We start from the raw sequence: 16,372 nt of genomic DNA, 5'->3' as shown, positions 1-16,372 counted from the left end.
ACACACACACACACATTGCAGGTAGTATATTCCCGCAAAAGTCAGAAGACTCAGACTTAAAAAATAATATGCTTTAGCTTTTCTTTGAACACAATGGCTCCTGTGAAATGCAACAAGCATCAGCTGCATCTCACATGCCCAGTTGCCTCACCTCTAATTCTTTGAGGTAGTTAACTGTTGCTTCTTGTCTCATTAATATGACTAGGTCATGAGGATGCTTCAAGTTCATTGGTGAATCCACCTGCAAGCAAGCAATAAATAAATAAAGCTCGGATTTCATTAATGCTGGTTTGGATTAACAAAGTCATTAATATGCTTTAAATTATTGTTCATTCGCCATTGTAATCAGCGTTATTCCTCAGCAAAACTCAAGGAGTATTTCAAAGTGATCACATGTAAATGTTAGCAAAGGGAATGACAAGTGCAACAGTTGTCCTGTGAACTCCAACTTGGAAGAACAAGCATTCAAAGTACATATTCTGACTTTACAGGTGATATAATAGTAAAGAAGTATTTGGCAATGATTGATAAAGTAACTTCCTTAAATGATGTTTCATGCCTGTAATAATAAAAAATGAATTGTCTTGTTTTGATAGCACATTTCATATCTGAATAGGCTTGGAAGTGATAAAAGGAAAATATTAAATGTACCTCTTTTTGAAAGCTATTTGTAGAAGTCATAAATCAAAGATAATATAAAATAACCTTGAGATTTATTACTTATTGCTCATGTTCTCTGGATCAACAAATCAAACAATTATGTTGAAGCTGTAGAAAAAATGAACACTCATATACTGGTAGCTGGCTTATAAATGTGTTCTCATTGTTTGGAGTGTCATTTGACAACATATATCAAAATGTTACAATTGCATAACCTTTGAGCAAAAGAAAGTCTAGGAAACTATCCTACAGACATTGTTCAATAAGTAGGCAAGGATATACATAAGGATGCTCATTACAACATTTGTAGCTGCAAAAGGACAATCAGAAACAACCTAAGTAAATCAATAAAGTGACAGAGAGACCCACTGTCCAATGGAATGGGATACAGGAAAAAATGTTAAAGCTACTGCCAGTGACCAGAGTATAAGAGCTTTACATAAGGAAGCAGGAGAAAGTGCTTAATTTACAACTCCGTCCAGACATCAAGAGATAGCTATTTAGTACATGACTCTACAGGTATTTTTAAATGAGATTTTTAGAAAAAATAAAATTGGGGGAGGGAAGAAACTGTGGAAGTGTGACAGTCCCATTCCAAAATGCCTAACCAAGGCTGGGCGCGGTGGCTTATGCCTGTAAGCCCAGCACTTTGGGAGGCCGAGGCAGGTGGATCACCTGAGGTTGAAAGTTTGAGACCAGCCTGCCCAACATGGTGAAACCTCATCTCTATTAAAAATATAAAAATTAGCTGGCATGGTGGCGCAGGACTGTAGTCCCAGCTACTCGGGAGGCTGAGGTAGGAGAATTGCTTGAACCCGGGAGGTAGAGGCTACAGTGACCTGAGATTGCGCCAACGCACTTCAGCCTGGACAACAGAGCGAGACTCTGTCTCAAAAAAACAAAAAACAAAACAAAACAAAACCAAAAAACAAAATGCCTAACCAGTCTGTTTACCTGATATTTGAAGAATTGCAAGAAAGAAAAAATGAGATAAATGAAGATTGAAAGAACTATTTAAAGCATAATCTTAGCTTTAGATTAAAAAGTTACTAGATAACAAAGTTTAATAATATTTCCATAGCATGGATCTGGTCAACATTCAATTGTGAGGAAGTACTTATCATTTCCTTGAAGCTTTTAGTTCAGCAAAGATACAGAGGAGGCATAAAGATAAAATTATTAGCAGAAGGAAGGGAGTTCACTGACAGCTGTGTTTCTCTTTTTGAGGTGACAGCAAATGGCAAAGATCTTTGCCAGATAAAAGTTGACTGCAGAAGACTTACAGCCTGACATACATGTTTTCTGAGGTACTTTCAAGTTCTTAAATTTTAAGATGTATGACTTGTCTTTGGGAAATGTTAATGTGAATTTCTCACTTCTCAAATACTTCTCCTCCTTAGATTATCAGAGTATGTTTGACAACTTTGTAAATACAGTTATATGCCAAATAACATTTCAGTCAATGGCAGACTGCATATGTGATGGTGCTCCCATGAGATTATAATACTATATTTTTTTTTTTAGACGGAATCTTACTCTGTCTCCTGGGCTGGAGTGCAGTGGTGTGATCTCGACTCACTGCAACCTCTGCCTCCCTGGTTCAAGCGATTCTCCTGCCTTAGCCTCCCGAGTAGCTGGGATTACAGGCGTCCGCCACTACGCCCAGCTAAGTTTTTGTATTTTTAGTAGAGATGGAGTTTCACCATGTTGGCCAGCCTGGTCTCGAACTCCTGACCTCGTGATTCGCCCGCCTCGGCCCCCAAAGTGCTGGGATTACAGGCATGAGCCACCACGCCCAACCTAATACTGTATTTTTACTGTGCCTTTTCTATGTTTAGATACACAAATACTTACCATTGTGTTACAACTGCCTACAGAACCATAACATGCTGTACAAGTGTGTAGCCTAGGTGTGTAGTAGGCTGTACAGTCTAGGTGTGTTTAAGTATACTCTATGATGTTTGCACAAGGCTGAAATCATCTGATACATTTCTCAGAACACACCCCCATTTTTAAGCAATGCATGAACATGTTACAACATCCATTCAACCAATAAGTGTTTATTAAGCTTCTATAAGCCAGGCCCACTATGAGTCGATGTCCTGAGTCAATGTTTAGAGTCTATGTACTCCTGTGTCATATACAACGTGTAAAAGAATGTTAATATGCCTTCAAAGTCTTTAGCATTGAAAAGAGGCTGCTGTAAGTCCAGAAGCAAAAAGGAGACAGGAATTACAGAGAGGTAGGTTAAAAAGGACATAATGAACACACAAGATCTCAAAGCACTTTATGGCTTTTTCACAAAGGATAAACAACCCTACAAACTTCCATTGCTGCACAGAACAATAAATGATGCAAATAATAACCTGAATTGTAAAGAAAAATTATAATCATTTTCACTTACTTTAAGGAGGTGAAGAAATTATGAAAAGTATTTTAGAGAAAAATTTAAACTACAGGGAAAACCTGATCAAGTATCTGGAAATTAGGCTCTATGGAATTCTATTATTCAGAATGATTCATTCTCTAAGAGTTCCAAGTAAACAAAATTTCACTGTTACTGTAGCAGTTTATTATAATAAAGAAAATGACAAGCCATATAAGGCAATTCAATTTCATTTTCCTTTGAATACATTATGTAAGTACAAGTTGAATATTCCTAATCTGAAAATCCGAAATCTGAAATGCTCCAAAATCCGATACTTTTTGAGTTCACTGCAGCATTTTGGATTCTGCATTTTCAGATTAGGGATACTCAACCTGTACATGTATCCAATTATATATAACATGAGTAAATATTTTACTCCTATCAAATTATGTTCATGTTATTTGTTGCTTTAATTAACCAAGATATTGTTAATATCTACACCTCCAATCTGGAACCCTATCTCAACAAATTCAGTAAGTTCACATGGTAACATGGAAATATCACTCACTATATGAGGGTAATTATTTCACTGCCAAATCAGATTAAGGGTGAACATTTTAAACTTAACCAATCTAAGAGTATAAACATTTTTGATGTCCTACAAAAACAAGTTTGAGTCAATCACTTTTTAATTATTCTTTATGGCAGAAAACTGAACATTTCTGTTGTAACATTAATTCAAGCTCTCATGTGCAACTTATTCTTCATATATACTGAACACTTTCACTGTTTTTTTTTTTAAATGGTATTCATCTAGGTACACGAAAGCAATATGGGAAACTCACTCTTCTCCAAATAGCACTTGGAAACTGATGAATATAATCTTAAATTATGCCATTCTCATTTAAAATTTTTCCCCTTAAGTTAGAAACTAGGGACAAAATAATTTTAATATTTTAATTCAGAATTATAGTTATTTAAATATTAAGACAATATGAAGGAAAACATAAATCAAAATCTTCAAAGTCGCCAAGATTTTGCCTCTATGTAAAACCTGAAATGGTTCTGTTTAGTGAGTATTTGTAGTGTTTGCTATCCAATATCCATAAGTCCCCCCTGTGGCAAAAGCACCTCACTTGCTTCCTTCCCCATATGGGAAGCCGTTGTCAGAGAATTTCTTTCCCTTGGTCATGGTGATTATTTCTGAGATACTACTCCAGTAAGGTCAGCTGGTACTAAAGAGACTCTAATCCAGAACTTTGAGCTATTGGTAACTAGCCATCTTGTATCTACATGGGGCCTGAGAATGGGGATGACGAAGCAAAGAAACAAAAACAGAAAAACTGATCCTTGTTATACTATTTGAGTCCTGAATCAAACTGTATCTGCAGCCCTTACAATTTGCCCAAACATTCCAATGAAAACTTTATAATACAGAAAGTATTGATGTGTTATTTCTAAACTTCCACCTAATTTTCACCTATGTCCCTCTGCCTAGGGCATCTTATTACTACTGTGGCTCTTATTTTTCTTTGGGTATATAATCAGTACAGGAACTGCTGGATCAAATGGTAGTTCTGTTCTAAGTTCTTTGAGAAATCTCCACAGGGGCTGAACTAATTTACATTTCCATCAACTGTGTATAAGACTTCCATTTTCTCTATAGCCCTGCCAACATCCTTTTTTTTTTTTTTTTGGTCTTTTTAATAATAGTCATTCTGACTGGTGCGAGGTAGTATCTTATTGTGGTTTTGATTTGCACTTCTCTAGTGATTAGTGATGTTGAGCATTTTTTCATATTTGTTGGCTGCATGTATGTCTTCTTTTGAGAAGTGCCTGTTTGTGTCGTTTGCCCATTTTTTAATGGAGTTGTTTTTTGCTTGTTGAATTAAGTTCCTTATAGATTCTGGATATCAGATCTTTGTTGGATGCATAGTTTGAGAATAGTTTCTCCCATTCTATAGGTTTACTCTGTTGATAGTTTCTTTTGCTGTGCAGAAGCTTTTTAGTTTAATTAGGTCCCACTTGTCCATTTCTGGTTTGTTGCAATTGCTTTTGGGGTCTTAGTCATAAATTCTTTGCCCAGGCCTATGTCCAGAATGATATTTCCTGGGTTTTCTGCTAGGATTTTTGTAGTTTTATTTCTTACATTTAAGTCTTTAATCCATCTTGAGTTAATTTCTGTATATGGTAAAAGGTAGGGATATAGTTTCATACTTCTGCATATGGCTAGCCAGTCATCCCAGCACCATTTATTGAATAGGGAGTGCTTTCCCACAAAAATTTTTTTATGTATTTCTTTTTCTACCTTCAGTATGTAACTTGCTTTCAGGTATATGCTAGGCATTTAATATACTGTTGATTGTTTGAGGACAGTATCTGTTAGATACTCTGCCACATTTATTAGATACTCCAACTCCATCTGCTAAAGCATTATCATTCACTGATGACTATTTGGAAAAAAAACGTGAAGTGGCTAAGGTACCAGAGATCAGAAACAAAATATGCATCTGACCAGTCTATGACTAACTGTATGGCTTTAAACAGATCATCTTCCCTGCCTGGGCTTCTGTTTCTTCATCTATAAACTGAAGGGACGCAAGCAAATGATTTCTAAAACTCCTTTTAATTTTCAAATCCTACTTCTATAAAAGACTTAACGTTACCGTAAAAGTATCACATTTTTACTAGCCAGACCTATACCCCCAAAATAGTCTGATATTCAAATATATGAAATTATCATCCTTTCAATTTGCCCATATAAATTCGTACTCACTCTGGGCAGGAATATTTTCCAAAGCTGTTGTTAAAAGCTTCTTTTAGGGCCGCGTGTGGTGGTTCACGCCTGTAATCCCAGCACTTTGGGAAGCTGAGGCGGGTGGATCATGAGGTCAGGAGATCGAGACCATCCTGGCTAACACGGTGAAACCTCATCTCTACTAAAAATACAAAAAATTAGCTGGGCGTGGTGGTGGGAGCCTGTAGTTCCAGCTACTGGGGAGGCTGAGGCAGGAGAATGGCGTGAACCTGGGAGGTGGAGCTTGCAGTGAGCAGAGATTGCGCCACTGCACTCCAGCCTGGGTGACAGATCGAGACTCTGTCTCAAAAAAAAAAAAAAAAAGCTTCTTTTAAACTGTCAATTTGTCAAATTAAACCAAGGCTCTAATTAGCAGTGGCTGGCTACTTCTGAGCAGTTATGTTGTTCATGGCAAAATCAGCCCTCTTTATCCTTAAGCTACTTAATACTAAGAAAATCTTTTTTAGAATTATAAACTAAATATATTTTACTGTAAAAACAAACACAGTACCATATAGACAATATGAAGGAGAAAATAAAAATTACTTGAAATTTCACTTTCAGAGATATCTGCTGTTAGATATATATCATGTCAGGATAACTTCTACATACATACACAAACACAGAGCTTTGTAGGTAAATATTTTCACAAAAATACGATAATAATATATCTACTATATTATTTCCTTCCTCTCTCTATTCCTCTGTACATTTTGTCAGACTTCCCAGTAAATACAGACCTATGTCAATATTTTTAGTGGTTAATATTATTTACCCAGGTTCCTAACTAAAATTCAGGTTTTTGGTTATTCTCCCTTTTTAACAATATTACAATGAACATCCTATACTAAAACTTTTGGCTGGGCGCAGTGGCTCACACCTGTAATCCCAGCACTTTGGCAGGCTGAGGCGGGTGGATCACCTAAGGTCAGGAGTTCAAGACTAGCCTGTCTAACATGGTGAAACCCCATCTCTATTAAAATTACAAAAATTAGCCAGGCGTAGTGGCACATGCTTATAATCCCAGCTACTTGGGAGGCTGAGGCAGGAGAATCGCTTGAATCCGGGAGGTGGAGGTTGCAGTGAGCCAGGCACTCCAGCCTGGTCAGTAAGAGTGAAACTCTGTCTCAAAAATAAATAAATAAATAAATAAATAAATAAATAAAAAATAAAAATAAGTTAGCTGGATGTGGTGGTAGGTACCTGTAATCCCAGCTACTCGGGAGGCTGAGGCAGGAGAATAGCTTGAAGCCAGGAAGTGGAAGTTGCAGTGAAAGGAGATCATGCCACTGCACTCCAGCCTGGGCGACAAGAGTGGCTCCTTCTCAAAAAAAAAAACCCATGAACCTTTTTAGACAGCTATCAGATTATTTCTTTCCTGTAACAGAAAGAAAACCGTTAGGTTAAAGGAACTATACTATTTTTTTGCATTTGTAAATTTACAGTTTTTGCTAGCTTTTCTCCAGAACAGTTGAATCAACTTAAATTCCTAACAACAGTGACTGAGTTCCTACACATCCTTAGGAATGCAGAAAAAAGGGTGAATATATACATTTTTTCTTTCTTTTTTGTTTAAAGAGATAGGGTCTTGCTCTGTCACCAAGGCTAGAGTGGACTGGTGTGATCATAGTTCACCGTAACCTTGAATTCCTGTGCTCAAGCAATCCTCCCACCTCAGCCTCCGGAGTAACTGGGACTACAGGTGAGCTGCTGCGTCAGGCCATGAATACATTTCAGTCTCTTCCTTGGCCATATGTATTTCTTTTGTGTATGTGATATTGTAAAATATATATTTGGTCTTCCACCCCACCCACCTTTTCTTGGCATACAACTCCTAAAATCCTTAGAATCTCCAAAGTGCTGTCTTTTTGTACAGTAGTGAGTTGACTGATGGCTGGCAGCTCCTAGGTAGTTTCAGGATCAGGGCAGGTCCCTGGAAAGACTAAGGCATGATTAGGACTTTCAGCCCCACCCCTTAACCTCTGGTGAGAGAAGAGGGGCTGAAGGTTAAGTTGACCACCAAAGGCCAATCATGCCCATGTAATAAAGCCTCCATAAAACCCCAAAAGGACTGGGTTCAGGAGATTCCGGAGAGCCAAACATGTGGAAGTTCCTGGAGAGGGCATGGAAGTTCTACACCCTTTGCCCCATACGTCACCCTGTGCATCTCTTCATCTGTGTCTTTTCTAATATAATAAACCAGTAAACATAAGTAAGTTTCCTTGAGTTCTGTGAGCCACTCTGGCAAATTAATTGAACCCAAAGAGGCAGCTATGGGAGCCCCAACTTGAAGCTGGTTGGTTAGAAGAGGCTGGGACTGAATTGGGTGGGAGGAGTCTTGTGGCACTGAGCTCTTGACCTGTAGGATCTGATGCCACTGCCAGGTAGACAATGTCAGAACTGAATTGGAAGCCACCTAGCCTGTGGCAGCTGCAGAACTGACTGCTTGCTTGGTGGTGTCAGAAACATGTTGTAAGAGAACAGTGGGAGAAACTGAGATGTTTTTTCCATTCACAATGTACTTATAAAAAATCTCACCTGTGTGTGATGGTTCACACCTGTAATCTTAGCACTTTGGGAGGACAAAGAAAGATCACCTGAGATAAGTTCAAGACCCCCCCCCCCACCTCCCCTCCCCGAACAACATAGCAAAACCCCATCTCTACAAAAACAGTTTTTAGAAGTAGCTGGGTGTGGTGGCACATGCCTGTTTTAGCTACTTGAGAGACTGAGGTGGGAGAACCACTTGAGGAGTTTGAGGCTGCAACGAGCCATGATCGTGCCACTGCACTGCAGACTGGACAACAGAGACTCCATCTTAAAACAAACAAACAAACAAACAAACAAACAAACCTGCCCCCTCTCTTTAACTATCTGACAGTTTATATATCATATTTTAAGAATATGGTTTCTAGTTGATATGACTTTACGTGATTATTCTCTTCTTGTTTGTGTTTTCTAACTTTTTCTACAGTGAACATGTATTATTTAAATTTATAAAGTGTTCTTTTTTTTTAATGTGCTATCCACAGGTCATCTTGTTTGTTAACACTGAAACTTTAGAACACTACGTAACATGTTTTATCTTTTTTTTTTTTTCCTTAAACAAACTGTAATGACAAATATAAGCTTAGGTCTGAGGAAGAATCTTGTATTTTTCCCTCGTGTATTCACTTATAGAGAAAAAAAATTCCTCTCACAGATAAGGACCAAGGTAGAACATCTCAAAAATGAAACATCTTTTGTATTTTCTTGCTCCTTACCTTTCTTCCCTCAGATTTTTACCCTTATCACAAATCTAGCTCAAACAATCAAATGATTGTCTAAGAGACCCTTCTGTTTGCGATCCCTTCCAGGCTACTATGGTAGCAAGCAAGATGAGTTTCACAGGGATGGAATGACGCAGGCAGAAAGTCTGTTGCTCCACTTCTCATGGAATTATCTCTTCAGGATTCAAGTCTAACCATCATGGGCTTACATCTTCTTTGAGGTTTAGAGAAGTACAGGTTCGCAAAAATAGCAGCCCAGCTTCCACTCTTGAGAGAGATACGCATGGGCTCCTGGCTATAACTGTCAAAACAAATGTGTAATATAAACAGATCTTTTACTAGAAACATTTCATTGTATGAGATTGAGAAAACTATTATAATGAACTGCCAAGATTTGGAAATATATTTGTTAATTATGACTTTTTGAAGCTAGAGTACTTGTACAGTATTTTTGAAAAATCAGAGGCCGGGTGCAGTGGCTCAAGCCTATAATCCCAGCACTTTGGGAGGCCAAGGCGGGAGAACTCCTGAGGTCAGGAGTTCGAGACCAGCCTGGCCAACATAGTGAAACCCTGTCTCTACTAAAAATACAACAATTAGCCAGGTGTGGTGGCGTGTGCCTGTAGTCCCAGCTACTCGGGAGGCTGAGGCAGAAGAATCACTTGAACCTGGGAGGCAGAGGTTGCAGTGAAATAAGATTGCACCACTGTACTCCAGCCTGGGTGACAGAGCAAGACTCTGTTTCAAAAAAAAAAAAAAAGAAATCAGAAACAAATTTTAATCTTACAGGATATCAAGTCATCAAAGGAAAAAACAAACTTCAAATTAATGAAAATGCTAAACCTTGACTATCATGCTAAACCTTGACTATCACCTGAATTTCCATGGCCTTATATCCCTGTTTTCTAAAGTTTTACCCTCAACTGGATTTTACCTTCTCATTTTCACAGTTCCTGAAATGTACAAATGTATCCTTACAGCTGTAAATTTACATAAAATAATCTAGGTAAGGGACACGTATTGCACAGTTGTTATCTAGATTTGAACATCTATAGTGTTGCAGTCAATTTTATGAGAATATTCATGTCTGTAAACAATCACCATTCTCCTAATTGACAAGCAAGTTAGTAACCATTTTCAACATGAACCACAAATGAGTAACTTCCTATAATAGTGCTACCAGTCCACATTTTCTAATTCATGTCACCAGGGCATATACAAATAACATAATTAATAAAGTAGAACATTTGCAACTCTAAAAGGAAGGTAAGTGAAAAGCTGGATCAAGACACAATAGTCAAGGCTCAAATAGACGCTGTTTTAGATAAAACTAGTTAGAACAAGAGATGACATGTGAAAAGAGACCTGAAAGGAGAGAGAGGCTGAGCCGTGATGCCATCTGCAGAGGAAGAAGCAAGGACAAAGGTCCAAAGGCAGAATCAAGCTTGGTGGTTTGAAGAACATCCCGAGGGCTGGTATGGCTGAGGCAGAGCACACCACACCACACAAGAAAGAAAGTGGTGTCTGAGGCTGGAGGAGAAGACAGGTGCCAGGTTCTAGATCTTACAGGACCTTGTAGGCCATAAGGAAAACTCCAGATTTTAATCTAAGTATGATGGGAAACTACTGAAGATTTTCTGATGTTCTTTGTTTCCCTCCTATCCCAAAGGGAGTGACATGACCAGCTGTGCTTTTTAAGAGATTACTTTGGCTGCTCTGGAGATAACAGATCTAGGGGACAAAAGTAGAAGCAAGGAGACCAGGTAGGAAGCCACTGCATAGGTTCTGCAAAGAGATGAAGACAGTATTGACTGGAATTACAGAAATGGAGGTGGAAAGACATGGCTGGATTCAGGAAACATTCTGGAAGTAGGGCTGACAAGTTATTACTACGTTGGGTTTGAGATATGAGAAAGAGTCAAGAAGATACCAAAATTTTGGACCTGGGCAATTTTGTGAATGGGGGAAGATCAGGTGTGGTGGGGTAGAAAATCAAGAGTTTAGTTTAGGACATGATGTATTTGTGATGACAACTAAATGGTGATGTTCAGTAGGCAGTTGGATATATGAGTCTGAAGTTCAGGAAGAAGTTGAAACTGCACGTAAGATTTGAGAGTCTTTAGAATATAAATGGTACTTTATGCCCCGAGACTGCAAAAGATCATCTGGTGAACATATGTACAGAGGGAAGAAAAGGGGCACACCAACACCTAAGACTCATCAAGAAAAGGTGAATTCAGCAGAAGAAAATGAGAAGTCAGGGCCAGGGACTGAGAAGAAAAACCAGGAATACGTGTTGGCTCTTCTGTATGCTAATGCATGTAAGAGCTATTACAGGTGTAAAAAGTTGCTTAGTTGCACACATTCTCTCTCCCTTACTCAGTGTTTCCTCAGTGTATACTATGTGTCAGCCACTCTTTTAGGTAAGCATGTAAGAAAATAGCTGAGTAAGATATGAAGACAAATGCTGGGCTGCTAAGAACTTAAGATTAGTGAGAACTGAGCATAGGCTCTGGGTATCTTGACAAGAGTTATAGGGATGAAGGATGAATTGGAGGGGGCTTAAAAAAGGAAGAGAGAGGAGACTCCACGAGCACAGATAACTCTTTTAGGGTGTCTGTCTGTAAAAGAGACACACACACACACACACACACACACACACACAGACATTCCCCTTGTTTTCACTTCTGCTATCAAGGAGTACAGCTGAGACGCAGGTTTTAGCTTACACCCTGCTCCTTAACATTTTGGAATGCAAAGTTGTTCTAATTTTTGACGTGAGCAGCTCGTGAGCCCTCTTATTTATTCTTCACTATCAGAGCGCCTTCTGTTTACTTTCACCAGAGTGACTTCTAAACTGCAACAACTGCTGAACCCCACAGCTGGTTCTAATCCCTCCTCAACAGTGCAGCTGCCATTTCTCATCTACCACGCCTCTGTTTTTTCTGATTATTTTCTTCTGCTTATCTTTTTCATTGTCTCTTGTTGCCCCATACTTTTTGCTTTTTGATGCCTGCGCATTAAAGTTGACCTTTTAGATATCTAAACTGGTACAAAGACAGCGAGGATGATTTCCCTTGCATAACACAACATGACTACAGTAGGTAAGCAGGAATGATCTCTGAAATTATGGCTCTTCTCATCTACTGTGCACCTTTTCTGAGGGCCTACGGGCTGATTCAATAATGCGTGACTCAAAGCTTTAAAGACATGGAAGTCTGAGGCTTCTTTTAGGCTTAGTCCCCAGATGACTAAAATATTACTGAATACTATAAGGATTCATTGAGAAATGTCTAGTGTGGCATTTACCTAAGTAGGTAGGCCCAACACAGTATGGTAGATCCTTTCATAAAGGAATTCAGGATGCTATGGAAGCACATAGAACAGCTTATTCAAATTTGGGCATACCAGAAGCTTCACTGAGAAAATGATGTTTATATTATGACGAGTATGACTCAGCTAGACTCGAGTGTTGGGGGAAGAACAACATATGCAAAGGCCCAGAAGAAGTGAGAACACGGCATATTTGGGGATGCTCACAAAAGCTAAGTCAGTATGGCTGTGTGTGTTACTCTAGGGTTAGGGTGGGGTACTCAAGGATGACCCGAGATAAGGCTAGAGAGGAAGGGCCAGGTCACATAAGATATGTTCGAGAATCTGTCTCCCTCCCTGCCACCAAAACCTTGTCAATAGAAAGAGTTTGGACCATATCCTGGGATATGCACCAAACTATTAAAGGTAGCTTTCCCTGGGGAGTGAGAGTGCATAGAGGTGGAGGGATTTCACTTTATTAAATATTCCCATGCTGGCATGGTGGATGTTTATTTTTACAATGCCATGCATTATTTCTGAATTCAATTTTTTTTTTTTTTTTGAGGCAGAGTCTCACTCTGTCACGCAAGCTGGAGTACAGTGGCACTATCTTGGGTCACTACAACCTCCACCTCCCGGGCTCAAGCGATTCTCCCACCTCAGCCTCCCGAGTAGCTTTGATTACAGGTGCGCACCACCATGCCCGGCTAATTTTTTGGTATTTTAGTAGAGATGGGGTTTTACCATGTTGCCCAGGATGGTTTCAAAATTTTTAATTAAATAAAACAAAGGAGAAGAACAGGAAGCTGCGGCAATAATAAGGTGGCCTGAATTAGAGTAATGATAGTAGCTATGGGAAGAAGTAAAATATAATTAGTAAAACAAAGATCTTGGTGATGGCTAAGGGAGACTAAGGAATTAAAGACAACTAGATTTCTGACGTGAACTAGTCCCAGCTACTCGGGAGGCTGAGGCAGAAAAATTGCTTGAACCTGGGAGGCGGAGGTTGTAGTGAGCCGAGATTGCGCCACTGCACTACAGCCTGGCGACAGAGCAAGACTCCATCTCAAAAAAAAAAAAAGGTCTTAAATCTACAACTCTGGAGAAAAAAACTAAGTTACAAAAGGAATGCAGATACTCTCAGCATACATATGGTAACTGATGCTCAGGTGTATGTACAGAGTTTAAAAAAACTGGAACAGAAGCTGGAAGGATGGCAATATCTAAAACTGAATTTCTTAGACTATGTGTGGTCTACCTGCATTATACTCTCCCAAGGAGTTTGATAAAAATGTAGAATCCTTCGCTTTACCACCAACCTACTGAATCAGATACTCTGGGTGTCTTGGAAATCTGCATTTTAAGCAAGCAACTCCCAATTCCCCAATTATTTTTGTACAAGGTAAAGTTTGAGAACTACTTATCTAAAGGGTGAGTATGAAAAAGAGCAAGGGCAAAGAAACAAAAACAAAAACAACAAAGTTAAGAAGGAGATGAGCTGGCCAGGCATGGCGGCTCATGCCTGTAATCCCAGCACTTTGGGAGGCCAAGGCAGGTGATTGCTTCAGCTCAGGAGATCAAGATCAGCCTGGGTGACATGGCAAAACCCCGTCTCTACAAAAAATACAAAAATTAGCTGGGTGTGGTGGCACTTGCCTGTAGTCCCAGCTACATGGGAGGCTGAGGCGGGAGGATCACTTGAGCCCAAGAGTTCAAGTTTACAATGAGCCATAATCATGCCACTGAATTCCAGCCTGAGCAACATGGTACAACCCTATCTCTACAAAAAATAAAAAAAAACTAACCAGGTGTGGTGGTATGCACTTGTAGTTCCAGGTACTAGGGAGGTTGTGGTGGGAAGATCACTTGAGCCTAGGAGTTCAAGGTCACGGTGAGCTATGACGGTGCCACTGCACTCTAGCCTGGGTGACAGAGTGACCTGTCTTTAAAAAATAAAAAACATTATGGCCGGGCGTGGTGGGTTCACGCCTGTAATCCCAGCACTTTGGGAGGCCGAGGCAGGCAGATCACCTGAGGTCAGGAGTTTGAGACCAGCCTGACCAGGAGAAACCCTGTCTCTACTAAAAATACAAAATTAGCCGGGCGTGGTGGTACATGCCTATAATCCCAGCTACTCAGGAGGCTGAGGCAGGAAAACCGCTTGAATCCAGGAGGTGGAGGTTGAGGTGAGCCGAGATCACGCCACTGTACTCCAGCCTGGGCAACAAGAGCGAAACTCTGTCTCAAAATAAATAAATAAATAAAAATTTAAAAAATTGAAAAAGTGGGAAAATTATTTAAAGTTCTAATTTATTTCTGTACATTTCCAAGCTCCTCTCACTGCCCTACAGCATAAACAAAGTCAGAATCTCAGTAATTTATAAGAAGAAAAATAATAGTGGACAATATCTGAAAAAATGGACTGAATGAGAATCATTTTGAAGCAAAGGTCTTGGACAAACTGCAAAGGTTTGGCAGATGCCTAGCAAATTAGTGAATAACCACCATGACCTCTCCAGGTGTAACTAAATCCTGGAAGTGTATAAACATAGAAACAGTCCTTTATGACAAAAAAAGATGAGTTACTTTTGAAAAGTACAGAAATAAAGCTGTCAGCTTCACAGTGCCATATGGATGCTCTCTCCCAGATTAACCAAATTACTTAACATCAGACCAAAATTAAACCAGGCCTTCACTTACAAGCTATTAATGGCTGGGCACAATGGCTCACACCTGTAATCCCAGCACTTTGGGAGGCCAAGGCAGGAGGATCGCTTGAGGCCTGGAGTTTAAGACCAGCCTGGCCGACATGAAGAAACCCTGTCTCTACTAAAAATTCAAAAATTAGCCAGGTGTGGTGGTGCACACCTGTAGTCCCAGCTATTTGGGAGGCTAAGACAGGAGAATCACTTAAACCCAGGAGACAGAGGTTGCAGTGAGCCAGAATCACACCACTGCACTCCAGCCTGGGTGATAAGAGTGAGACTCCGTCTCAAAAAAAAAAAAAAAAAAAAAAAAAAGAGGATCTGTACTCCGAAGATACCGGCCTGACCGGGGGACAAAACGATTAAGTAAATGCCGAATGAACTCACACTTATTTAGGACCCTTCCACACCCACTTACCCTGAATCTTAAGTTACCACAAAACATTCTATGGAGATAAAGCAAACTGGAAAAGAAGATACCTTTACTTCATTATTTTCATTTTTGCTTTTATGTTTCTTTGTAGTCCTTCATTTGTAAGTGTTATGAGAGGAAAAAAAATCTACTGAGTACAAGGTGCTCACTTGCATGCTACTGCAGACTAATCCATTTTTACTTACTATTGCCACGAAATGCCACACATTAGTTACACGACTTTGAGTGACTTTCTCTCTTAGGAGTTGTACTACATAATCTTTAAGAATGTTTTCCAAATCTGAAAGTCCACAGTTCTAAGTAAGATTGGAGAAGAGGGAAATAGTGACAAAGAATACGAATATTAAAATGTATAAGACAGCTGATACAGATGATACTCTTAATTTACTTAAATTTTTAGCCCTCCAATTATGAAGAAAAAGAATATCCAGAGGCAGAGAACTCAGTACTAGCAATACAACTTCTTGATTCAGTAAGGCTACAACTAACAAACTGGTAACATTTCAAGAGTTTCTCTGTTAGCTGCTACCTAGAGCATGGAACATATATTTTTTTCAACAAAATGAAGTGCCATAGAGTGGTTAGGCTCTTAGGCAAATTCACAAGTTTAACCTTTGATGCAAGTAAATTACCAGACACTGATTAAAAAATAGAAAATAGAATACAGAAAGTAGATATTGCCAAACTAGGGATTAAGCAAAAACAACATCAAAATGAAACAACACAAAATTTATCTTGAAACCTATTTTTCAAAAAGTCAACCAAAAGAGCCACAGGCCTGATTACGCTAGTGCTCCTTTTAGTAACTAGATTATAATAGCTCACTTC

At 39.2% G+C, this 16,372-nt stretch overlaps 1 protein-coding gene across 12 annotated transcripts in view; it reads right to left on the bottom strand.

Annotated features, from left to right (window-relative positions):
• TTC17 (tetratricopeptide repeat domain 17) overlaps positions 1–16,372 on the bottom strand; it is a 136,012-nt gene that overhangs the window by 115,458 nt on the left and 4,182 nt on the right. For 10 of the 12 annotated variants that reach the window (NR_164823.1, NR_164824.1, NM_001376525.1 and 7 more), the window contains exon 2: positions 152–241. The exons of 1 other annotated variant lie outside the window; for it this stretch is intronic. Coding sequence is in view for 9 of the 11 variants with exons in the window: in NM_001376525.1 (NP_001363454.1) it covers positions 152–241 (90 nt within the window). In the remaining 2 variants the exon portion in view is untranslated. Of the gene's footprint in view, positions 1–151; positions 242–5,804; positions 5,899–16,372 lie in introns of those variants that run through there. One more of the 12 variants, XM_006718263.2, reaches the window with a different exon arrangement.

The sequence above is a fragment of the Homo sapiens genome, chromosome 11 (assembly GCF_000001405.40).
Source record: "Homo sapiens chromosome 11, GRCh38.p14 Primary Assembly".
Taxonomy (NCBI): domain Eukaryota; kingdom Metazoa; phylum Chordata; class Mammalia; order Primates; family Hominidae; genus Homo; species Homo sapiens.
This window is presented reverse-complemented; position numbering and strand designations above follow the sequence as displayed.